The sequence below is a fragment of the Homo sapiens genome, chromosome 10 (assembly GCF_000001405.40).
Source record: "Homo sapiens chromosome 10, GRCh38.p14 Primary Assembly".
NCBI classification, from domain to species: Eukaryota; Metazoa; Chordata; class Mammalia; order Primates; family Hominidae; genus Homo; species Homo sapiens.
The window spans coordinates 2,005,031-2,032,207 of record NC_000010.11 but is presented as its reverse complement, the minus strand read 5'-3'; the positions used below and the strand labels follow the sequence as shown (position 1 = coordinate 2,032,207).

Genomic DNA, 27,177 nt, shown 5'->3' with positions numbered 1-27,177 from the left:
TAAAACTCCTAGAAGATAACATAAGAGAAAATCCAAATGACTTTGGGTTTGGTGACTTTTTTTTTTTTTTTGAGACGGAGTCTCGCTCTGTTGCACAGACTGGAGTGCAGTGGCATGATCTAGGCTCACTGCAACCTCCACCTCCTGGGTTCAAGCAATTCTTTGTCTCAGCCTCCCAAGCACCTGGGATTATATGTGGCCACCACCACGCCCAGCTAATTTTTTGTATTTTTAGTACAGATGGGGTTTTACCATCTTGGCCAGGCTGGTCTTGAACTCCTGACCTTGTGATCCACCCACCTCAGCCTCTCAAAGTGTTGGGATTACAGGCATGAGCCACCGTGCCCGGCCACGTGATGACTTTTCTAATAGAACAACATTAAAGGAACATTCAGGAAGGAAAAAAAGTCGCATAAACTGGATTTAGTTGAAATTAAAAACTTCTGATTTGAGAAAGGCACAGTCTAGAGAATGCGAAGAGAAGCCACAAATTGAGAGAAGGTGTTTGCAAATCACATATCTGATAAAAAGACTTATCCAAACTATAAACAGAACCTTAAATCTCAACAATAAGAAAATGAACACCCAATTTTAAAATGGGCAAAACATCTCAACAGACCCTGCAGCACATGTGATATACAAATGACCAGCATATGTAAAGACGCTCCACATCTAAGTCATGAGGGAATTGCAAATTCAAACGAGACATCATTATGTGTATATTAGAATGAGGAAAGCCCAAAATACTGACAAAACCAAATGCTGACAAGGATGTGGTATAACAAGAACTGTCATTCATTGTTGCTAGAAATGAAAAATAGTATAGCCACTGAGGAAGACAGTTCAGCAGTTTCCTGCAAAACTAAACATACTCTAGCCATGCATTCCATACACTCTTCACTATTTGTCCAAATGAGTTGACAACTTATAATTTACAGAAAAACCTGTACAAAAGATGCTTATAACAGCTTTATTTGTCATTGCCAAAGGCTGTTATCAAGTAGGAGATGCTTCACTTGGTAAATGGCTGAACAAGCTGTGCTGTGTCCATACAATGAGCTATGGAATCTGGGCTAAAAAGAAAGGAGTTATGAAGCCCTGAGAAGAGATGAAGGAATCTTAAATGCACATTGCTAAGTGAAAGAAGCCAGTCTCACCAAAAAGAAAGGAGTTATGAAGCCCTGAGAAGAGATGGAGGAAACTTAAATGCACATTGCTAAGTGAAAGAAGCCAGTCTGGAGGGCTGCAAATTGTGTGATTCCAACTCTAAGACATTCTGGAAAAGGCAAAACTATAGAGACAAGAGAAAGGTCAGTGGTTGCCTGAGGCTGAGGGAGGGAGGAATGCATAGGTGGAATATAGGATTTTTCAGGGCAGTGAAACAACTTTTTATGATACTGCAATGACAAATACATGTCGTTATACATTTGTTCAAACACATAGAATATACAACACCAGGATTAAACCCTGATGTAAACTATGGACTTTAGGTGATGATGCTGCATCATTATTGTTTCAAGGATTGTCACAACTCTACCTTTCTGGAGGGAGATGTTGATGGTGAGGGGGTGTGTGTGTGTATAGCTGGGAAGGGTGTATGTCAGAGCTCCCTGTACTTTCAATTATTCTGTGAACCTAACACTGCTGTAAAAAATTGAGGCTATTTTAAAAACAGAAGCTAAAGTACAAAGCTTCAGTAAGTCTAGCTGCTTTTTTGAACAATGAACAAAACACACATTTATAATCATAATTAGACTATATTGAACTGATAGGAAAGCAATACGTTTTGATAACAGCTGTTTTTCAGGACTAAAATCCCAATTTGATAAGTATCTGACTTTGATTTTTTTCTTGTTTTTCATGCCTTTCTAGCATGAGTTATGTGTTAAAAGATCTAGCTTATGAAAGTGTAGTTTCTATCACTCTCACAGCATGCTATGCTACATTACATAATGATACTGAGGCTAAATCTAGCTACAATCTGTTGTTTCAATAATAACAAAATGCATTAAGCAAATGGACTAAAATGGAATTATAGCTGCAGATGCTCAATTCTCATTTCTTTTTATTTTGCATCTTATTACAATATCAGGCTTCAGTGTTGGCCTCTGATCAGGTTGATCAACTAGTAATTATAAGTCTGTATTTAAATGTTCATATCTTTCTGCAAAGCAGTAAATGTCTAAGTTTCTCTATTTGACTCTTTGAAACATTCAGTAAGTAAACTAATTCATTACCTTATCAGCAAAATTCCCTACTGAATGATACTGTGTTTGGACTTTTACAAAATTATTCAAGTGCAAATTCACTTAAAAGAGATCTCTCATCTAATTTATTCAGCTAAAAATGTGGGCCATTTGTGCTTTATTCACAGTGATACCCAGACATATGATGATGTATTTGTCTTTGGTAAATTGTTCCAAATAAAGTTAATATATGTTATCTGACATCCATCAGCTCAAAAGATACACAATGGCTCATACTCTGACTTGGGAGTATACGTCATAGAATCAAGACACTGTGGTCAGGAGTAAAAATAGAATATGCCTTTCAATAGGTTTTTGAGTAAATACCAAAAGGGATGAGATATCAAGTTTTGTTAAACAATTGTTGTTAAGTTTATTATATCAGATAATATTGAGAATTACAATAAAATTTTAAGTACATTACTGAATGGTTTAATCTTTAATTCATTGCTATTCTTTTTATTATTTTCTCAATATTTTGTAATATGAAAGTAACAGGTATAATAGAAATACAGTAGAAAAAATAAAATAAATTTATCATTTTAATGCACAGACATTTGATGAATATTACCCCATACTCATTTAAAGGTATAACAAAAATTGCATTTTATAAAAATAGAGCTACATTCTTTCATCATATAATTTGAAAGTATTAAATTTTAACTAGAAAATTTGCAATTCTTGGACAATGATACTGCCTCTCTTTTTGGTCTATTGTGAATAATGATGACTTTGTCAGCCCTGAATATGTCTCTGCACCTTCCTGGTTATTTCTGTAGGATAAATATCTAATTTAGACTCCAGGGAGTCCATTGAGCAGGTGTAGTTTATATATATATATATATATTTTTTTTTATTTAAGTTCTAGGGTACATGTGCACAACGTGCAGGTTTGTTACATATGTATGCATGTGTCATGTTGGTGTGCTGCACCCATTAACTCATCATTTACATTAGGTATATCTCCTAAGGCTATCCCTCCCCCACCCCGCCACCCCACAACAGGCCCCGGTGTGTGGGTGTGTGATGTTCCCCTTCCTGTGTCCAAGTGTTCTCATTGTTCAATTCCCACCTATGAGTGAGAACATGCAGTGTTTGGTTTTTTGTCCTTGTGATAGTTTGCTGAGAATGATGGTTTCCAGCTTCATCCATGTCCCTACAAAGGACATGAACTCATCATTTTTTATGGCTGCATAGTATTCTATGGTGTATATGTGCCACATTTTCTTAAACCAGTCTATCATTGTTGGACATTTGGGTTGATTCCAAGTCTTTGCTTTTGTGAATAGTGCTGCAATAAACATATGTGTGCATGTGTCTTTATAGAAGCATGATTTATAATCCTTTGGGTATATACCCAGTAATGGGATGGCTAGGTCAAATGGTATTTCCAGTTCTACATCCCTGAGGAATCACCACACTAACTTCCACAATGGTTGAACTAGTTTACAGTCCCACCAACAGTGTAAAAGTGTTCCTATTTCTCCACATCCTCTCCAGCACCTGTTGTTTCCTGACTTTTTAATGATCACCATTCTAACTGGTGTGAGATGGTATCTCATTGTGGTTTTGATTTGCATTTCTCTGATGGCCAGTGATGATGAGCATTTTTTCATGTGTCTGTTGGCTGCACAAATGTCTTCTTTTGAGAAGCATCTGTTCATATCCTTTGCCCACTTTTTGATGGGGTTGTTCGTTTGTTTTCTTGTAAATTTGTTTGAATTCTTTGTAGATTCTGGATATTAGCCCTTTGTCAGATGAGTAGATTGCAAAATTTTTTTCCCATTCTGTAGATTGCCTCTTCACTCTGATGGTAGTTTCTTTTGCTGTGCAGAAGCTCTTTAGTTTAATTAGATCCCATTTGTCAATTTTGGCTTTTGATGCCATTGCTTTTGGTGTTTTAGACATGAAGTCCTTGCCCATGCCTATGTCCTGAATGGTATTGCCTAGGTTTTCTTCTAGGGTTTTTATGGTTTTAGGTCTAACATGTAAGTCTTTAATCCATCTTGAATTAATTTTTGTATAAGGTGTAAGGAAGGGATCCAGTTTCAGCTTTCTGCATATGGCTAGCCAGTTTTCCCAGCACCATTTTTAACACTTCAATGTACATTGTTAAGTTGTTGCGGTGATTTTGGGGTGTATTAACCAGAACAGGCAATCGGGTCTCCTGGAACCCTTTCCCTGTGGGATTCTGGTTTAGGACTGGCCGCAGCAGAGGTGAAGGCATCTCCGGCAGCTACCGTGATGGGAGTCTGTAAGAGATGAACACAGAGCTCTGGTCGGTCTAGGGTCCACTCTGCTCAGCCCTCAGCTCTTTTCTGAACTCAAGACCAGTTTACCAACAACCAGCCATAGGCTCCATTCTCTCCACTGCCTGCACCCCACGTAGCCGTGGCCTGGCTTCCCAGATTTTCACAAGCTCCAAATGAACCCTGCATGCCTGTCCGTGACTCAGGAAGACTGACGGGTGAGTCTCCTTTGACCTATGATGTCTATAGCCAAACCTTGTTTCCCCAAGCCCTCCCACCATCATCTGAGGTCTAATTGCTGTAATAATCCTGCACTTTCCAACACTCATGACTGTTCTGCACCCCCCATCAGTGGGTGTCAGACAGAGTAGCTGCAGCAACAAACACCTTACCTGTCCCATGAGCCTGGGTTTGGGGCCAGGCAGAGTTCTGAAGGGGTAGAAGCAAGAGTGCTAGAAGATTCAGGAAGAGCAGCCAGAAGGGGTCCTGGGAAGGTGGAGAGAGCCAACCCCTGCTGCCAGCACGCTCACATGTGGCCGTGGGGAAGGCAGAGCTGACTTAAGCGCCCCTGGATTGTGCCAAGGAGACATCCAGGCCAAATGTTGAAAGTGACAGCTGGTTCCTCTTAGCTTCTTAGGAGGAAGCACAGGAGGAGAAAATGTCTCAAAGATGCTACAGTTCACTTTCCAGGCAGAATTAGAGAAAAACAGTTTCAATGCAAGACTTCTGGGCATAAAAACTATTTTTTTTTTTCTCATTTCCATTCTTCTTAGCTTGTATGAGGCTCTCAATGTTAGAAATAACATGAAGGCAAAGATCAAATCCAGAACTCCCCCAGGGCATATGGCTTTGGTATTTAGACAGAGATCCCAGAACAGCTCTAAGGCCTTTGTGGCAACCTTAACAAGGTGAAAGCTGGGTGGGGCTCTGTGTTCCATGCCTGTAATCCCAGCACTTTGGGAGGCCGAGGAGGGCAGATCACCTGAGATCAGGAGTTTGAGACCAGCCTGGCCAACGTGGTGAAACCCCATCTCTACTAAAAATACAAAAATTAGCTAGGCATGATGGCACGTGTCTGTAATCCCAGCTACTTGGGAGGCTTAGGAGGGAGACTCACTTGAACCCAGGAGGCAGAGGTTGCAGTGAGCTGAGATCATGCCACTGCACTCCAGCCTGGGTGACAGAGCAAGACTCCATCTCAAAAAAAAAAGAAAGGTGAAAGCTGGGACTGTGTGCCCTCTCTCCTGGACAAAGGGTCTTGTAGGAATTTTTAGTGGAGAGAAAATTGCTATCTTAAACAGAGGGATGCACCTGGTCTAAGAAAAAGCCAGTTTAAAATGAAAGGAGGAGCCTCGCCTCAACCTTCTATAGGCTGAGGAAGCCTCTAAGCTGCAAAAGAGACCCTTTCCTTCGAAAAAGGAAGAACGATGCAGACAATGACTCCATTGACTAGTTTATTTCCTTAATAAGCAATTCGCTCTGATCTCACTCTTCATTCCACGCTGTGTACAGGGTGTGAGAATACAAAAATCTATATATTTACAATGCTTAGTAGCATAATGTACAGAGCACATATGTAGGCTAAGAAAAAACAGGATGCCACTTGGAAGAATAAAGTTGATTTCAAGTAAGAAAAAGAGTAATGTTGATTCCAAGTAACAATCAAAACTCACAGAAATCTTCTAGCTCACTTTTAAAATGCCCAAACTATTTTTGGAATGTGTATTTTCTGTGCTTTGGAACATTTATCACACCTCCTACACATCTGGGGTGAGCGATTAGTTTGAGATGAGTGGCAACGTACACTCACATAAATAGAGGTCTTCAAACTTCATTTTTAAAAGTGCTACTGTAATTTACAATGACATCATTCTAATTTTGACATCTTAATACGTCTCCATAGGTTTGCTTTGACAATGTTTTGTTATGTTTTGACACTGTTTGTAGTTTTATTCTAAAGCCTCGGAATTTTAATTCTTTGTTTCACGTCAGAGGCACAATGGAAATCAATTAAAATTTCTCCTGCTTTTGGAATGGAGAGAAGTACCCTGAGACTTGACTGATGATTTTTACTTTACTGCCATGTGAGATAAGTATAATTCACATATATAACTCGAACAGATGTTTAGGGTTTTTAAAATTCCATTTACAAGTAACTAAAAGTTAAAGAAAATAATATTGCAATTTGGTTTCACTTCATGATTTAGGCTTGGAACAGGGAACTCTCAGAAGTTGGAACTTGGTGAATAATGATTTCTCTAATCATCCAAATATGTGTAAATGAACTCCCACTAATGGTCAAAGTACATTTTCACATGTGTTTAAAATTATCGTGTGCTCCAAATAGAGTACTCAACATTGACCTAATCTTAGAAGCAGGTCGTCCAGCGCGATGGTGGCCACAGCCTTGAGACCACTGGTGGAGCAATGAAGATCCCTTTGTATGCAGTTACGTTTAAGATGCTTCAAACGGGCATCTTTCAGGGTTAAAACGGATTGAAAGAGTAATGACCAACTCCATGTGTCCTGATGACTAAGTCAATCCTTAAATCCCATCTACAAGGACCTTCCATCTCTGCAAAGTTTTCAAAGGGCCACACCTCACATTTGGAGTATGCTGTGTGTATTCAAAGGGCCACACCTCACATTTAGAGTATATTGTGTGTATTCCAAGGGCCACACCTCACATTTGGAGTATGCTGTGTGTATTCAAAGGGCCACACCTCACATTTAGAGTATGCTGTGTGTATTCAAAGGGCCACACCTCACATTTAGAGTATGCTGTGTGTATTCAACAGCTTTTATTGCTGTGGGCTTGTATGTGCTGACTATAGAGTACCCTGCTCTTGTGAAACCACGGAAATAAAATCTATTGATAACTCACGATGTAGTCCATGTACAGTAGCTGTTCTGGCATCCACACCTTCTCTTATCTGGGCAAAATAATCCACACACATTTTTTTTTCAGTTCTCAGTGTGATGTGTGCATGTATGGGATGCCCTGGGGTCTCCTGCCCTTCCTAATGGACCTTCTCTGGACATGCCTTTACACCATCACATTTTAATGTTTAAAAATATCTCGTTATGATGGTTGATTGTATGTGTCAAATTGACTGGGCTAAGAGACACCAAGATAGCTGGTGACTCATTGTTCTGGGTGTGTCTGTGCAGGTGTCTCCAGATGAATGAGATGAGAATTTGAACCCATAGGCTAGGTAGAGAGCATTTGTCTCCAGATGAGATGAGCGTTTGAACTCGTAGGCTGGGTAGAGAGCGGGTGCCTCCAGATGAGATGAGTGTTTGAACCCATAGGGCTGGGTAGAGAGCAGGTGCCACCAGATGAGATGAGTGTTTGAACTCATAGGCTGGGTAGAGAGCAGCTGTCTCCAGATGAGATGAGTATTTGAACCCATAGGCTGGGTAGAGGGCAGGTGCCTGCAGACAAGATGAGCACTGGAACCCATAGTCTGGGTATAAATCAGCTGTCTCCAGATGAGATGAGCATTTGAACCCTTAGGCTGGGTAGACAGCAGCTGTCTCCAGATGAGATGAGCATCTGAACCCGTAGGCTGGGAGAGCAGATCCACCCAGCAGGTGGGCAGCATCCAATCCACTGAGGGCCTGAGTCAAACAAACATGTGGAAAAGGGGAATTCTCTCTCTCCTCTGAAGCTGACGCACCTTCTCCTGCCCTGGGACACCTAAGCTCCCAGTCCTCAGGCCTCGGGAATAGGACTGGGAGTCATGCCGTGAGCTCTCCTGGCTCTCAGGCATCTGGACAGAGGCTGGATGACAGTTTGGCTTTCCTGGGCCTCCGGCTTGCAGAAGGCAGACTGGGGGACTTTTCCATTTCCAAAACTGCTTCTGTCAACTCACATAAGACATCTCCTGTTACATATCTATTTATATCCTATTGGCTCTGTTTCTCTAGGGAACTCTGACTAATAATGTTATTAATAATTCTTTCTAGAAAATATTAAATATACTATTGACTCAGCTCACGGTTCTGGACTGTCAAACCCATTATGAACACGTATTCTGCCAAATATCATGTGCACTATTTAAAAAAATATATGCTGTTTTACACAGGTTAAATCAACAGGACCTCCACTCTTCACACATCGGAAACATGGTTAAAGAGAAGGGGACCAGGCGTGGTGGCTCTGCAGCATGTCAGGCTGCTGTGCTGGCCCCAGAAGGACCTCGTGCTGCAGGGCCATTGCTCAGCAGCTGCCAAGCCACTGTAAGGAGTGGCCCCATTGCCTGCAGTGCTCTATTTCACACCAAGTCTTTTCTCTACCATTTCTGAATAATGAGGCTTTTTCATGTCTTTGGCTTTCATAGTACTGAATAGTTTAACTCACACACACATACACACACACACACACGATGTTAGAAACATCTGAAAAACTAAGTCTCAGCTGGGTAGGGTGGCTCACACCTGTAATCCCAGCACTTTGGGAGGCCGAGGTGCATGGATCACTTGAGGTCAGCAGTTCAAGACCAGCCTGGTCAACATGGTGAAACCCTGTTTCTACTGAAAATACAAAAATTAGCCAGGCATGGTGGTGCATGCCTGTAGTCCCAGCTACTCAGGAGGCTGAGACAGGAGAATTGCTTGAACTCAGGAGGCGGAGGTTGCCGTGAGCTGAGATCTGGCCACTGCATTCTATTCTGGTGACAAAACAAGACTTTGTCTCAAAAAATAAAATAAAATAAAATTAAAAAACTACGTTGCCCCTCCAAGCAGGAGGACATGGATACGTCCTGGAGGCTATGGTCAAAATAAGTCCATGGTGGCCATGTAAGGCCCGAGCATATTACATAGCATTTCTCTATCTCCTGAAGCCTCACACCATGCCTTCCACAAGTGAGACAGGGTCCCAAAGACATGTGGGTGAGCCCCACTGCAGGCTTTGCATAGCAGGTGCACTTACTGATTTTAATTATAAAGGTAACACACTATGGTTTCCCACCAGAGAACAATAAAAGAAATCCCAACACAGGAAGGTAATGTGGTCCCCCCACACCCACTCTGCCCCTCTAGAAGGAAGCCTGCCGACCGGGAGATGGTTTCTCCATCTGTTCATTTCCACGCATTCACACTTCTGTGTAATCATATGCGATCATGTAGTTTTCTTATGGAAGTAGATTTCAAGGCCTGTCTATGTCACAATTCCGTGTGATCATATGCGCTCTTGTAGTTTCTTTATGAATGTGAATTTCAAGGCTTGCCTATGTCACACTTCTTTTGTGATGAGGGGAGTGGTCATTTTACATGTTTAAAAATAAGGGGTTCCCTGCTTGAAGGATTTTTTGGCAGCCAGGAGGCAGAAGTGTGACTGCAAAGTCAAATATGGTTATGCAATCCAAGATACTATTTTTAAAGGAATATATACTACTTAAGAAATTTAAAAATTGAAGAAATTAATACTAATGTAAACTGGTTTATAGTCTTCCCTGGGTAAGCACAAAAAATGAATTTTGATTTATAATTTTATGCTGTACTTCCATGTATTTGATTTCATAAAGCCACACCCTCATTAGAGATCTTGATACAAGTGCACCCCTAAGAACTTTCTCAAGTCAGATTACTGTTTGTATATACGTGTGTTTGTGAATTTGTTTTATTCCAGACATTTGAATAATAGTTATTCATTTTCTCCCATCTACATGTTTCTTCAGAACACATTTATGGGATATCCGGACTAAAGCAAGCCAAGTGCTAACCCTGTATTTTCTGAGCAGAAATATTTCCTACACCAAAAGAGATGTATCGTGATGATGTAAATTGTTCCTATTTGGAAAACACCAATCTGTGAAGGCACCATAAAAAATGTGGCTCCCTAGTTCTCACTTAATAAAGATGATACACACATATGTTGTTCAAGATGCGCTGATTGAAAAAGGGACCATTTCTGAAGCATTTAGACATATGGTTTCCTTTTTTTGTTGTTGTTGTTTCAAGAATAAATAATAATATTTAAGCTGGCAGACAGAGATACACTTCAGTTAGCCAATTGACCTGGAAATATAATCGGTAGTTGTGAAGTAGGTCTGAGGCTGGTGGTTGGAGGAATCCTTAGAGTAAGTTTTCAAACATACATTTTTCTGCCTCTGCGTTGGGCAGCTCTCAACATCACTTAACCCCTCACGAAAGAGGGAGATGTGAGCACCTGGAGAAGCACACAGAGGGAGGAAAGGGCGTAGAAAGACAGAGACAGGTGACACGATACCAGGTGGAAGTGACACTGGTGTTTTGCAGAAAAGACTGTATTGGAACCCCCTAGGTCTGTGCTCCGGGGGTTGACTCTGGTTTTCCACTAAATTGCTACCAGTTTGAGGCAACAGCGATATTTTATTACCCAACTAAATATTTATTAATTGTTGACCTGAGCTCTATTTTTGCATTTTCCATGCTTCTAATTAGGTTTTGTTTGTTTGTTTGTTTTCTCATGGAATGTCCTACATGCCTAGATTACAGTTCTGAGATAACAATATTTTATTTACAACTTTCTGAAGTAAGAGGAGAAGCAGTACTGTTTGTTTGCTGGGGCTTCCAGCACAAAATAGCACAGACCAGCGACTTAGAAAACAGACACTTATTCTTTCACAGTCCTGGAGGCTGGAAGTGGGAGATGACGGTGTGGTCAGGGTGGTTCCTCCTGAGGCTTCTCTCTGTGGCCTGCAGCTGGGCCTCTTCCCCTCTGTGTCCTCACAGGGTCATCTCTCCGTGCATGTCTGTGTTCTAATACTTCTGCTTCTGGGGACACCAGGCAGAATGGATTAGAGCCACTATAATAGTCTCATTTAATTTGATTATCTCTTTAAAGGCTTTGTTTCCATACAGAGTGACGTTTTGCAATATTGAACATTAGCACTTTGATGTGAATTTGGGGGTCACTCAACTAAGCCCACAGAAGCAACATATTTGGCATAGTAGCTTTGAGCGACTTCATCGTTCAACATCGACAGCAACCATTTCTTCCATCCCAGCTTCTTCAACAATGAGACCTTGCCCCTTTCCATGAAAGATGGTTCCCTCCTTGAGCCCAGGTAGGCCTGGGACCTTTCCTCCCATAGCACATAGCAGAAGCAACGCGATGTGACTTTTGACGCTGGGTCACAAGAAGAATAGCAACACTAGCTGACCCGAGCCACCGTCCGGGAAGTCCCTACACTTGTTGCCTGCCGCAGGGTGTGCAGAGCAGGCCAGGACATGAACAACCCCGGGGGATGTCCTGATGGATGGTGATGGGAGGAGCCCTGGGTGAACTTCCTGAAGGACGGTGATGGGAGGAGCCCCGGGGGACTTCCTGATGGACGGTGAGGGGAGGAGCCCTGGGTGAACGTCCTGATGGACGGTGATGGGAGGGATCCCCTGTGAACATCCTGATGGATGGTGACAGGAGGAGCCTTGCATGGACATCTGATGGTTTGTGACAGGAGGAGCCCCTGGGGACATCCTGTTGGATAGTGACAGGAGGAGCCTTGGGGGACGTCCTGGTGAACCATAGTCTTGCTTCACCATGGCCAGGCTCCAGAAGTGTAAGTGAAAAGGAAAACTCACGTAATTCCAGCCCCCAAACCTTAGACAGAGGGCTTTGGCTTGGTCCCAGGTGGGGCAGAGCTAGAAGGGCCATGCGCGGGTGTTAATGAGAACCGGGGTGCCAGGGGATCCCCAAAGGCTCCAGCAAGGCCCTGAGGCTCCTTGCAAGGCTGGTGGCGAAGGCGGCGCTGGTGCTGGAGGAGGCTGACCCTCCTGGTGCCACATCAGGACGCTGGCAGCGGCCCTCAGAGGGCACAGGGGCAATGATGATCAGGTTAGGAGACCGGGGCCGAGTGACAAGGGACCACCGTGAGCTAAATAATGATCTATTCCATTTTCAGGCAGAATTTTCTAGAAATACAAATGAGCCAGGGTTTGCTTTGTCTAAAAATCAAACCATTTCTCATCCCCAGTCTCTGCCTCAAGGAAAAAAAGTACCAGGGGGCACAGAACAAATCCTGGAAAATGGGGCCTCAGGTGAAGATGTGGGGAGGGTGTTCCTGGAAATCTACCCACATTCTCCCTCATGGATGCTTCTAGACAAGATCAGAGCCAGACAAGAGGCTGCATGTGCCTCCAACCCCTCCTCTAAAATTCAGGGCTTGCGGGAGTGTTGGGGCGCAGCGGCTCAGCTGTCCCCAGGAAGAAGAGAAGAGCTTGTCTGGAAGAGCCCAGCTCTGGATTTTGCCCAAGGCAGCCCCTTGCTGTTCTACAAGACAAAGTTTTCAGGGAATCAGGGAAATGTGCCAGCATGGACAAACATGAACAGATGTTGTAGAAACCACAACTTCTTATAGGAGGAGGCAGCTGACAGGGAGAGCCATACACCAGGCATTTCTCTCTCCCTTCCTTCCTTCCTTCCTTCCTTCCTTCCTTCCTTCCTTCCTTCCTTCCTTCCTTCCTTCCTTCCTTTCTTCCTCCCTCCCTCCCTCCCTCTCTCTCTCTTTCTTTCCTTCTTTCTTTCTTTCTACTAAAAAAAAAAATGCCGTCCATGTGCACAACATGCCCAGGACCAGATGGATTCACAGCTGAATTCTACCAGAAATAAAAAGAAGAGCTGGTACCATTCCTTCTGAAACTATTCCAAACATTTGAAAAGGAAGAACTCTTCCCTAACTCATTTTATGAAGCCAGCATCATCCTGATACCAAAACCGGTAAGAGACACAACCAAAAAAGAAAATTTTAGGCCAATAACCCTAATGAACATCTATGTGAAAATCCTCAATAAAATACTGGCAAACTGAATCCAGCAGCACATCAAAAAACTTATCGACCGCGATCAAGTCGGCTTCATCCCTGGGATGCAAGGCTGGTTCAACATGTGCAAATCAACAAGCATAATCTATGACATAAACAGAACTAACAGAAAAACCATAGAATTATGTCAACAGATGCAGAAAAGACCTTTGATAAAATTCAACATCCCTTCATGTTAAAAACCCTGAATAAACTAGGTATTGATGGAACATATCTCAAAATAATAAGAGCTATTTATGACAAATCCACAGCCAATATCATATTGAATGGGCAAAAGCTGGAAACATTCCCTTTGAAAACCGGTACAAGACCAGGATGCCCTCTCTCATCACTGCTATTCAACGTAGTATTGGCAGTTCTGGTTGGGCAATCAGACAAGAGAAAGAAATAAAAGGTATTCAAATAGGAAGAGAGGAAGTCAGATTGTCTGTATTTGCAGATGACACGATTTTATATTTAGAAAACCCCATCATCTCAGCCTAAAAACTCTTTAAACTGATAAGCAACTTCAACAAAGTGTCAGGATACAAAATCAATGTGCAAAAACCACAAGCATTCCTTTACACCAACAATAGAAAAGCGGAGAGCCAAATCATGAATGAACTCCCATTCAAAATCGTCAAAAAGGGAATACAATGCCTAGGAATACAGCTAACAAGGGATATAAAGGACCTTTTCAAGGAGAACTAGAAACTACTTCTCAAGGAAATAAGAGAAGACACAAACAAATGGAAAAACATTCCATCCTCATGGATAAGAAAAATCAATATCATGAAAATAGTTATACTGCCCAAAGTAATTTATAGATTCAGTGTTATTCCCATCAAACTACCATTGACATTCTTCACAGAGTTAGAAAAAACTATTTTAAATTTCATAAGGAATCAAAGAGGAACCCATATAGCCAAAGAAATCCTAAGCAAAAAATACAAAGCTGGAGGCATCATACTACCTGACTTCAGGCATTTCTTAAGGAGGAGGAATGGGCCCTTGGAGGGTATCATCGGGTGTTGAGAATGGCTGTTTAGTCCAGTAAGTCTGAGGATGATCTCTAAGACATCAGCAACAATCAGATTGCAGCCGCTGTTTTCTTGGTCATAATTTTATGAAAATGGGTGCAAGCGACTCCCCAGTCTCGCCCTGTTGTCCAGGTGAAAAGCCCAGGCACCTGCCTCAGAGGATGTGCAGGAGGTCAGCCCCAGAGCAGCTGGCTGCAAGGAAGGAGATGTTTACAGTCAGGCTCACCTATGAATATTCACCTCATGGGGCACTCCATCACACACAAGCCCCTACACATACATAGCACACACAGCACACACAGAAACACACAAACATATACAGACATACACATACATGCACACAGACTCACATTCATATGCATACACACACCATACCACCCACACACACTAGACTACACATACACACACCACACTGCAAACACAACACATGTGTATGTACACAGAAACTCACACACATAAACATGCACATACATATACAAACACCCTACCAAATACACCACATACAGACAAATATAGACATATGCAAATGTGCACACACAAACATACACATGTATACAGATAACACATGCATACACACAGTGACAGAGGCTGCAGGAAGAAATGCAAAAAAATAAAAATAAAAGAAGAAAACACTTGGCTTTTTAAACAGATCAATAGCAGAACATTTCTGCATTCACAGCCTTCTGCCGATATTTCTGTCATGTCTGCTAAATATTTTGCATGAATGAATGAATGATTGTATTTTTAAAAAGTTATCATGAGCTTTTTCAGATTCTACACAGCACAATCTCTTTGGGACCTGTAAAATGCAATTTGCATAGAAAAACAGTTTTTAATGTAAACATGATCTTCAGTGTTTCTTAAATTATATGTTTGAATATATTTTTCATGTTAAATTACACTTTATTCTGTTTTGAGGTTTCAGCACTGTGTTGGCCTTGTTAACTTGGGCGCTCTATGAGGTGTGAGTGCCTGTGAGGTGTACAGTGGCTGCTTTGCCCATGACAGGCTCCGCGTATGACAGAAACTCAAAGCATGTCAACACCAGCCTGCTTCTGTCCTGGTTCTGTGACGGGATTATCTTTTTTGTGTCCAAGAAGATGTGCAAATAATAATTCAGCAGTTTTAATGGTTTAGTATGACAATGCAATTATCCAGAGGCACAATTCAGCACAAGTCCATATTATTATCTATTTCGGTATAATCGGTCAGCAAAACTTGACAGTTAGAATTACTGAGGGAAGTTGTGATAACTAGAATAATAATTCTTCAACATTATGCATCTTGGCATTGGTTTTGATATGTGCACCTGCCAACAATTACTTTTCAGCCTAGAGAAAAGCTTCACTCTAATTATATGATCTATGGTTTAGAGAGGGCTTTTTGCCATCCCTTCATCCCCTGTTAGACCAAACTGTTCTCAGATTCACAGGCAAAGGTCCATGCATCTGTATTTGCTTATAAGTTCAACTAAAATTGACAGTTTGCAGAGCAAACTAACACACAGTAGGTACTCAAGACAGAATTACTAAACTGATTATTTAATTCCATTTTTATCCACTGTATTCTTGCCCTGCTCAACAATGTGCTTAGTTTATTATAATGCGGGGGAAATTATTTGAATACAAAACAACTCAACGTTGTTATAAAACCCTTGCTTTGGATTTCAGAATTTATTTTGTTCTCAGTCTCTGCATCTCTCCTCTGCACGTCATAGAGTGAACTCTGATTCCATCAGAACATACATCATTTTCCCAGTTCAGGAGGGTTATAAACAATCCTTCTATTACTAACCACTGAAAGTATCGGTGCTGTGTTTTCAGATGTTAGCCCAGGTGTTATTGCTGCCATGCTGTGTGGCAGTGGCGTCCTTTGAAGTAAGTACATCCTTCCTTTTTTTCAGCAGTTATTTTCTATCCTGATCCCATTAAATTTGCACGTATAATTTGTTAGACTATACTGGAAAGGAAAATCAACTACTATCTTCAATAGAACTCATTTCTACCATCAATGATCTCTGTATCTCAGAATATTCCAGGGACCTAGAGAGAGGCTAATGCCTACCAGCAGAGAATGCCATAGACGTATATAAAACTTAAAGAGATCACTTAATTCTTAACAGATAAAAGCAAGCATTTTGGTTGTTGATTTTGGTATCAATATAATTTTCTCTACACAGCAAATAGACGATCAGCTTCAGTGATCACCTCCAGCCTTCACAATGTGACCCAACAAAAAGCAGGATCATAGGAGCACTTGCCGTGTGGGCCGGGTGCGGGGGCTTACGCCTGTAATCCCAGCACTTTGGAAGGCCGAGGTGGGTGGATCACTTGAGGTCAGGAGTTCAAGACCAGCCTGGCCAACGTGGAGAAACCCCGTCTCTACAAAAAATGCAACAATTATCTGTGCGTGGTGGCCGGTGCCTGTAATCCCAACACCTTGGGAGGCTGAAGCAGGAGAATCGCTTGAAACTGGGAGGCACAGATTGCAGTGAGACGAGATCCTGCCACGAGTGTACTCCAGCCTGGGCCACGGAGCGAGACCTGAGAAAGAAAGAAAGAGGGAAAGAAAGAAAAGAAGAAAGAGAAAGAAGGAAAGAAAGAAAGAAAGAAAGAAAGAAAGAAAGAAAGAAAGAAAGAAAGAAAGAAAGAAAGAAAGAGAAAGAGAGAAACAGAGAAAAGAGAGAAGGAAAAAGAAAGAAGAATGAGAAAGAGAGAGGGAGAGAAAGAAAGAAAGAAAGAAAGAAAGAAAGAAAGAGAAAGAAAGAAAGAAAGAAAGAAAGAAAGAAAGAAAGAAAGAAAGAAAGAAAAGAAAAGAAAAGAAAGAAGAAAGAAAGACAGAGAAAGAAAGAAAAAGACTCGCTGCATAGAACCTGCCTCCCAATGGAGATGCAGAGAAAGAAGGAACATTCGCTGGGTGGAGGCACCTTAAGAGAGGTTTCGTGAATTCTTTCTTGAGGTAGAGAAGCGCTGTGGGGAGAAAGCATGCACTCACCAGTGCGCCGAGCAGAACCTCACCTGAATATGTAAAACAGTGAAGAAGGAGAGTTTTGAACAGGGCTATTGAAGCGTGAGTTAGGTGGATCTGAGAGACTGATGACTGGACCTTACTGGAAATGCCGCTGGAAGCAGGGTCAGGACGGAGCCCGCAGGAAACGCGCCTGTGTGGATGGGCTGAGTCACGATTTTCCCGCCTGGCATATATGCTCTTATATTTGCTCACTGGTTTAGAGTGAGTCTATTTGTAACAACAACAACAACAAAAATAAAACACTTCAAATAAACAGGACTCCTTTATTTATGAAGGACAGCTCTTTATTTACGAAGGACAGCTTTACTCAGAACATCTTGAATGATAAAATCCACAGGCAGTATGATTTCGTTTGGTAGTTAATGCTATTTTCTTTTACAACAAAATAGCTTGCCGGACTTTCTGAACAGCATGGTGTAAGAGGTAAGAGGCATTTTGTCTCTGCCTCTCGTCATAATGATCACGGGGCACATGGCTGTAGGAAGGGCCATGCCCTGAAGACACAGGCAAAGTGCCTGTAAATAAACCCTGAGTGGGCAACATGAATGGCCGCAGACCAGACAAAATGAGAATCCAGTTAAACAAGTGCATGAAATATGCCCCTTAGTCCACTCAGCCTGCAACACAAAAGCACAGAACAGGCAGCTTCTAAACCACAGACATTGACTTCCGTTCTGGAGGCCGGAAGTCCAAGATGGAGGGTCCCGCAGATTCCGTGTCTGGTAAGAACTGCTGTCTGGTTCACAGACGGTGCCTTCCTGCTGTGTCCTCATATGGTGGAAGGGCCAAGGAGTTCGGCAGGGCCTCCTACATGCAGACAGGAATTCCATTCACAGGGGATCTGCCTTCAGAGCCTAATCACCTTCTAAAGGCCCCACCTCCTAATACACTCGTGTTGGGGGTGAGGACTTCAACATGGGAATTTGGGGGAGCGCACACACTCAGATCACAGTAGGCCCCAACGATAAGAGAGTGTTCACCTGAGTTTAAATAGGGTTTGTTATTAAAATTAAAAACCCAAAAGTCCTATAAACCAGAGGCTGAACTACTAAACAAACACAAATAAGGTCTTATGCCTCTCCCATGCATTTCATACCAATAGAGACATCTGCCTATGACTCTTTCAAGAAATCCCTTATTTAGTGAGATATGAACTGGGCTCCTGCGATTTTACAGAGCTTAACATGATCAAAATTAGCCCCATGGACTAAAATTGCATTTGCACTTTAAGGAATTCTCTGTTCATATGACTATACTGAAATATTACAAGCTACCATTTCCTGCTGTGCATTGATTTTGAAAAATCATTTTACTGTGCTAAAAATATACCTAATATGTATGTTCTAAAAAGGTCTTTTTCTACAGAAACATTGGCAAAATCATCTTCATTGTTCATAGATTGTTGCAGCAGATCCAACTGAAGGATACACCAACCATTTTAATCGGACACAAAAGAACAGGCTGTCCTCACCTGACCACCACCCACAACAACCGAACTTTAATCAGACACAAAAGAACAGGCTGTCACCTGACCACCACCCACAACAACCGAAGGGCAGGGTGAGTCCATTTAGAGTCTCGAGAATTTCAGACGTGCATTCACTTTAAAGGTGAGATTATATTAATAGCAAAGTTTAAAAGTCACATTATACACAAAATTAATGAAATCATTAAATACCATAAATCTATTTTGAAAAATATTGCCTTATGAAGTAATTCTTATAGTTTTAATGAAAAATTATATAGCACTGTATTATTCATAAAGAACAGTAAATATTATTTTTCCAGCAGAAATACAACTTAAAAATGGAATTCACATTTTTAAAACAGAACTTTAAATTCCATTTTACTTCGAGCCTATCAGTATTTTCTGAAATGTGTCTAGAGTGCACCAGAAGTGTGATTTGAAGAGGACAAATGGTTTTCTAGCTCCAGAGTGGTTAAAATATAATCTGGGTAAGTAAGGAGAAATGGAAGTGCCTAACGAATCCAACGTGTGAGAAAAGCTGGTGAAGACAATTCATGGGGGATTTGATGCTCTGTGTAAAACAGAGAAGGAAGAAAGCCATTTAGTTGTGAAGGAGGCCCTTCGCAAATACCAGCAAAGGCAGCCCAGGACAGGGACGCTGGCCAACCTCTGCTAGAATCACGTTGCTGCTAGATAATGCAATGCACAAATAAAGTAACAGATCCAATAATGCAAATTTTAAAAGGGAGAAATTATGTTTATTTGCAAGTGATATGAAGTGAGGGGGAAGCTATTGCTTAGAATAAGCCCATATTTCCAGCAGGGCTCAGGACCATGACCCCAGGCTGAGGACTGAGGGTAAAGTGCCACTTGCCACATGGGGCCTCCGGGGGAAGTCGGGAAGAAACCTGCACAAGGATGAGACCGTCCCCCAGCAGGACTCCAGGACTCCATCCCCAGGGCCATGGCCACCCCAGGGCCATGCATGCCCAGAAACACCCTCCATTCCCTGCAGGCAGGAACAGCAGGTGCAGCTCCTCTGCCTGCCAGCTTTGGGACCTCTAGGACTGACCGCTTCCTGTCTGGACACCAGTCCTGTAATGCTCTCATCCTTGCTGTCTGAGCCTGGCCAGTTCCTACTGCCATCTCAGACGGCCTGTGGTCTGGTCCTCAGCAAACCCCTCTGGGCCAACTTCTTCCCTCCTTGTATCCTCACAGGCACCCGTTGCTGCCTCTGGCTACCCCCTGCAGCCATGCTGTCTTCTCTTTCACATCCTCGGCCACTGGCCTGGGGTGAGACTGGGTCCTTTCTCCTCATGCTCGGCCTAGAAGCTTCTCCCTCTTTCCTGCCTGGAGCCTTGCTTTAAACCCATGTCAGCACGTGACAGTGGTAGCTGCCTCTCTTGGGGTAAACAGACCTGACACGAGGTCAGGAGTGTCTGCAGCTTCTTTGGGAGCAGGAAGAACTTGGGCAGGGAGCAGAGAATGAAGACAGAAGTGGGGCAGCAGATAGGAGCTCACAGGTGCGTTATCAAGTCACCTCCACTGTATAGGGAGGAGATGCGGCCTCCAGGAAACTGAAACTGCAGGCTTCTTTCCTTTCAGGGACAGCTGTCACCTGAGTCCTGGTAGTGGTTACTGGAAGGCTGAGGGGAGATGGGGGACATGGCATTGTGTGTTGGGGGGTTCATTTCCTGCATTTCTGTCCAGGCTGAGACGCCCAAAAGTTCCCTGTGTTCTTGTACTGAGCATTCAGAAGAGTGGCCATTCCAGCTTAAAAATAAAAGCATAAAACAGACAGTGACAACAAAACAGCCACCTGCGACTGCCATCCATCTGAAAGCCGCACTGAGCTCGAGTGGCCGCGTTTCTGCTGACCCAAGGTGTTGCAAGGTCGGGGAGCTGGTTCTCCTCCTCCATGGGTCTGAGCCCAGGCTGCCCTGCTTTTCCGCCAACCACCAGCTGTTATCAAAGGGAACAAAGCCAGGAGAGCAGGCGGAGAATCCCCCAGCTCACACACAGTGGAGGGCCCTCCTGAGAGTCCTGGTCAGCACCTGACAATGGACAGCACCGTCCAGGCTGCTCTGCTCAGCACCCTTGCCCAGCCACAGGGGCCACGCTGTGCCTGCTCCAGCCCACGTGAGGGCCACCCCACGCACCTGGCTGTTCAGGGCCCTGGCCATGGTGGACACCCAGGCAGGGACACCGAGCCCCACCTGTGCTCACTCCACAGTTCCATCTGTTTGCTTCTTAACCAGAACCTATTGTCCCCAGTCTTACAAAGCTTATCTTACCAGGCCCCTGACAGCCAGTGGAACCCTTCACTGCTGACAAGAGCCCAGGCCTCATGTCGGCACAGGGAACGTTCCATCCACACCAAGTCAGGGAATGGGAGAGTCTTCACAGCTCTCTGCTCGGGGCCGGGAGCCTTCCCACTTCTGCCATTTGGGGCCACATTGTCATCACAGCCACCCGAACTTGGCCTCCCCAAAAATGTGTCCACACCATGATTTTTAAAAAGTAAAAATGGAGGATGATTTGGGCAAAGGGACAAGTGTGCAATCAGAAAGATCAATTCAGAGCTTTGTAAACATCTGAGGAGAAAAATGGTCCCAGAATGTCTTTCTGGTTTATCTCAAGAAAACCATGTAAAAATTCCCAGTGGCAGGTTGCAGTTGTCGTAACCTCTTAATAAATCATATGATTACCTACCTCATTTTGCTTTGGTAACCACATGATTAAGTGTGCTAAAATTAAATGTTACCTTCCTTCTAATGCTGAAGTACTTCTGATTATTCTAATAATATGCAAATTGCATCTTTAGAACTCAAACTACATAATCACCTGAGTATTCCAGTAAGAATTCAACTTATTAATTATATTAAAATATATTCAATTAATTAAAGCCAGCTCATTGCAATTATAAACCTGCAAATAAAAAAAAACATAAACTTTCCTCAGAAAAATAAGTGATTGAAAAGAGAGACACTTTGGTTGCTTTTAAGTGTATTTATGAAGTCATTAAAATTCACAGATTGTTTCATACAGTGTCTCCCACGACATCTTATTATGGACTGATTTGAATCAATTGGTAATGAAATGACTCGAACTTGTAATAGCAATTAAGAAATAGGGCTGAGCACGGTGGCTCATGCCTGTAATCCCAGCTCTTTGAGAGGCCGAGGCAGGCAGATCACAAGGTCAAGAGATCGAGACCATGCTGGCCAACATGGTGAAATTCCATCTCTACTAAAAATACAAAAATTAGCTTGGTGTGGTGGCACATGCCTGTAGTCCCAGCTACTCGGGAGGTGGAGGCAGGTGAATGGCTTGAACCTGGGAGGCAGAGGTTGCAGTGAGCCAAGATTGTGCCATTGCACTCCAGCCTGGTGACAGAGTGTGAGACTGTCTCAAAAAAAAAAAAAGAGAGAGAAAGAAATAGAACTTCCACACACAATGCTTTCACATTGGTCATCATCTTACGTCTGGGTCAGATTGGTGAAAGGATAAAAATCACCACTCAGCAACCAGAGCAGGGCATCTGATAGGTACTCCCACCAGGAAGAAGCAGGGCTCAGGAATTGGCTGGGTCACACTCAGAGGAACAGGCAGTCCTGGGAGGGCCTGGCAGAAACTTTGACACAACTTTTTGTAGTGTGTCGATATGTATCTGATATGGTTTGGCTGTGTCTCCACCAAAATCTCATCTTGAATTCCCATGTGTTATGGGAGAGACCCCAAGGGAGATGATTGAATCATGGGGGCAGGTCTTTCCCATGCTGTTCTCAGGGTAGTGAAGAAGTCTCATGAGATCTGATTGTTTTATAAAGAGGAGTTCCCTGCACAATCTCTCTCTGTTTGCCTGCTGCCATCCATGTAAGACGTGACTTGCTCCTTCTGGCCTTCCACCATGATTGTGAGGCCTCCCCAGCCATGTGGAACTGTGAGTCCATTAAGTCTCTTTCTTTTGTAAATTGCCCAGTCTTGGATATGTCTTTGTCAGCAGCGTGAGAACAGACTAATACAGCACTTATTAGGAAGAAGCTCAAAGGTGTTCCAGTCTAGGAGGAACACAGGAGCCCAGCAAGGGGTGTGCCTGGTTAGAGAACAAGCAAGTTCATCTAAATATAATAATTTAATGATTATTTTTCATGATCTGATCTAAACTTAGATAATCCCAAGTGTAAGAGTGGAATGTGGTGGTTCTCTTCAAGGCCACTGTTCTAACCGTAAGAGAAGCAACAGCAGAAACAGCAGCTAATCATTATAGAGTACTTTAAAGCTTATAGCTGAGGATTCAATAGAAAAGAATTTATCAGTAGTTATATAAGTTAAATTTACTTGAAATAAAGCCTATAAGTTTTGCCTGTAGATGCAGATATTTAGAAAAAAGGCTCAGAAGCCTGCGCACTTCCTGAAGACCACCATCAGTTCAATAACAATATGGAGAAACCCAGATCGTGCCAAGTCTGGTTTGGAAACAGAGGTGATTGTATAGCAGTAAAACACAGCCTACTTCAGAGGGTGCTCTTGTAAATGATAGAGAAACAAAAATGCGTGTTCCAAGGGGAAATGAAGCTGCTTGAGCTGTAGCAAAGCCCTTGCTCCTTGGGGGTTAGGGTCACTCGAGTCTCCTCTCTGTGCTATTAGTTTATGTGTCCTGTGTAATTAGTGGAGAAGTGCTGTGCACTGGCCGACTGAAGGGAGGGTTAAGGGCAAGACATGAGCTATGCTAACAGAAGAGGACAGAGGACAATTGGCAACACTGGGCCATGGTCATCTTCTGTATTGCTTCATATTTTGAATTTTTGGAGCACCTGATTTGGAAACTGTTGAGATAGTTTTTCCTTTGCTCCTAGAATTCCTAGTACAATAAAAGGCTAGACACTAGGTGAAGTATTTCAAATGTTTGATGAAACTCTTAAAATAGCCATGTGACTTAAGCAGTCTCTCCATATCCACTTTACATTTGATGAAAATGAGGTTTAGAAAGATTAACTAAGTTGCCTAAATTAGCATCCCTAGAAAGTTGCAGAATCATAGTCCATGCCCACGTGTCTGCCCCTGAGAGCCCACACATTTCCCAGGGCTGCCATCAAGAAGCGCCGCAAGGTGGAGGGCTTGCACTCCCAGACATTGATTTTCTCTGTGTTCTGGAGACTCAAAGTCCAAGATCGAGGTGTTTGGGAGCCAAGCTCCCTCCAAAGCCTCCAAGGGATGAGCCTCCTTGCCTCTTCCACACTCTGCTGTCCCTGGTATTCCTGGCTTGTGGTTGCACCCGTCCCATCCAATGTCTGCCCTCACCTTTAGGTTGTGTTCCTTGTGTTCCCCTGTGTGTCTTCACGTCTTCTTTCCTCCATGTGGTCTTTGTGTCTAAATTTCCCGTTTTCATAAGGACACCAGTCATATTGAATTACAGCCACCATAACGAACCTGTTTTAACCTGATTTACCATGTAAATGCTCTATTTCCAAGTGAGGTCACACTCTGAGGTGCAGCGGTTAGGACTTCAAAATACTATTTTGGGGGATTCAATTCAATGCATAACACACCCACCAACTCATGCCCTTCCCACGTGAGAAATACACCTGCCCCTCCCAACATCCCTAAGATTTTCCTCATTCCAGTGTCTACTCAAAGTCTCAATCTTATTATTTAAATTATCCAAAGTGGTTATGAGTGAGTGGCAGGGTATGATCTGTGCTGGGGCAAATATTTTTCCCATCTGTGAACCTGTGAAACCAGATGTCACATATTGGTTTCCGGGCAGTGCAGGACAAGTCCCCACTCCAAAAAGAGGCATCAGAAGGAGAAAAGGGCCACAGGTTCCAAGCACATCTGAAATGCAGCAGAGAAAAGCCCCTGAGATTTTAAGACTTGAGAACAACCCTCACTGTCCTGATGCTCTTGATGCGCTACCCTGAGCCTGCACAGGCTGGAAGCACAGCCTCCTGAAGCAGAGGAGGGAGTGGGTTCAACCCCGGTCCACACTCTCTGGGCCTGAAGTGGAGGCAGCAGCTTCGCCAGCCTCTGAACCACCCTTGAGGTCTTCCCTTTTCGTGAAGCATAGCACATGTTTGCAGCAAATTGCTCCATGAGCCCTGCCTAGGGAATCTTGACAATTGTCCAGCCACAATCTTGGTTTTCTCTCCAGAGTATATTTTCTGAGTTTTTGCAGGATAGGTAAACTGAGAATTTTCCAAATCTTCAAGTTCTGTTTTTGTTTTTGTTTTTTCTTTTTACAGAGTCTTGCTGTGTCACCAGGCTGATCTCGGCTCACCACAACCTCCGCCGCCCAAGTTCAAGTAATTCTCCAGCCTCAGCCTCCCCAGTAGCTGGGACTACAGGCATGTGCCACCATGTCCAGCTAATTTTTGTATTTTTAGTAGAGACAGGGTTTCACCACGTTGGCCAGGATGGTCTCGATCTCTTGACCTTGTGATCCACCTACCCCAGCCTCCCAAAGTGCTGGGATTACAGGCGTGAGCCACCGTGCCTGGCCCTGGTTTCCTTTTTCTTAGCAATCTTTTCTTCAATATACTTTTTCCAACTCTCACATTTTACTATGAGCAGCAAGAAGAAACCAGGCTCTTCCTTCAACATTTTCCTTAGAGATCTCCTCAGCTAAATATCCAAGTTTGTCCCCTACAGGTTATACTTTCGACACAACAAGACACAATTGCACCAACTTCTCTACCATGTTGTGGCAAAGATCATCTCCTGCGTTTTCCAATAGCATGTTCCTATTTCCGTCTGAGCCCTCCCCAGAATCACCTTTAACATCCATATGTCTACCAACTGTATCTTCAGAACAATTGAGTCTTCTTCTGACATAAATGTTAAAACTCTCTCTGCCTCTAACCGTTACCCAGTTCCAAAGCCACCCCGGCATTGTCAGGTATTGGTCACAGCACTTCCTTTCTCAGAACCAAAATCTCTCTTAGCCTGCTCAGGCTTCCAGAGCACAGGAACACACACCAGGGGACTTAAAGCCAAAGAAACCCACTGTCGTAGAGTTGTGAGGTCTAGAAGTCCAAAATCAGAGTGTTGTCAGGGCCAACCTACACCTCGTGCTGTAAAGGGGGCCCTCCCTTGCCTCTTCCTCCTCCTGGTCACCCCAGGCATTACTCACCCTGTTGACGGGTCCTAATCTCTGCCTCTGACTTCACGTGGATTCTTCCTGTGTGTGCATCTGTCTCCAAATGTCCCCATTTCATAAGGGCACTTCTTTAGGCATTTCATTAAGGCTCACCCTAGTGATTTCACTTTGAATTGTTTGCTTAAGATCACATTTTGAGGTAGTGGGGGTTAGGCTTTCTACATATCTGTTTTAGATAAAAATTCCAAATTCAGACAAAATTCAACCTATGACAAAGTCATGCTATTGCTATTACATACTCGACCTATAACGAAGTTACACTATTAACTCACTACTACATACTCAGTATAACAAACTCACTCTAATACTCACTACTACATACTCAGTATAACAAAGTCATGGTAATACTCACTACTACATACTTGGTATAACAAAGTCACGCTAATACTAACTACTACATACTCGGTACAAAGTCATGCTAATACTCACTACTACATACTTGACCTATGACAAAGTCACACTATTACCACTGCCCAACCAACCTATAACGCAGTCACACTATTACTCACTGCTACACACTCGACCTATAAGAAAGTCATGGTATTACCGCTGCATATCCGACCTACGACAAAGTCACCCTATTACTCACTGCTGCATACTCAATCCCAGATTTACAATCGGAAGCCTCTGCTGGTGAAAATATGGAAGTCAATACTGAATGTCCCTTTCTTTGCCATAAAACTGCCATCACACAGAAGAGAGAACTTACCAAGCAATACCAACACATTCATTCTCCAATAAAATTATTAATTTCTTCATTTTGTATACATTCTTCCTGTCTTTTTTAAGTTCCATTCCATATATATTTTATTCTCAATAAAAGTTTTATTTTTAATTTTTTTCAAACTATCTCAGCACCATTTGAAGTTTTATACTTTCACATCAGAAAAAGTCCTTAAATGCTTAAAGTCAGAATCATATTAGGTGACAACCTAACCTAACAGCATAATTGGAACTAAGTCAAATATCATGATGCTCTAAACGTCATCAACCTATCAACACTCCATGCTCCTTTTGAGTAGTTCATACCCTGCAAGGATCTGGTGGGATGTTTTCTCAAGGAAGGAAATGTATCTGTCAGTTACAGATTCTCATTCGATGCAATAACCTTCTTTCTCAGGAACTTTCCTATGTTAATACAAGTGACATCACCACAGCGGTGTTTCCCATTTCATTCTGAAATCAAAATAACTAGTACT

General features: G+C 42.8%; 1 long non-coding RNA gene across 1 annotated transcript; it reads left to right on the top strand.

Moving 5' to 3' along the window:
- The first annotated feature begins 17,859 nt into the window (after positions 1-17,859).
- Positions 17,860-26,735, top strand: LINC00700 (long intergenic non-protein coding RNA 700). Its single transcript, NR_040253.2, has 3 exons — positions 17,860-18,073; positions 18,750-18,961; positions 25,065-26,735. It is a non-coding gene; the product is annotated as a long intergenic non-protein coding RNA 700 (long non-coding RNA).
- Positions 26,736-27,177: the final 442 nt, after the last annotated feature.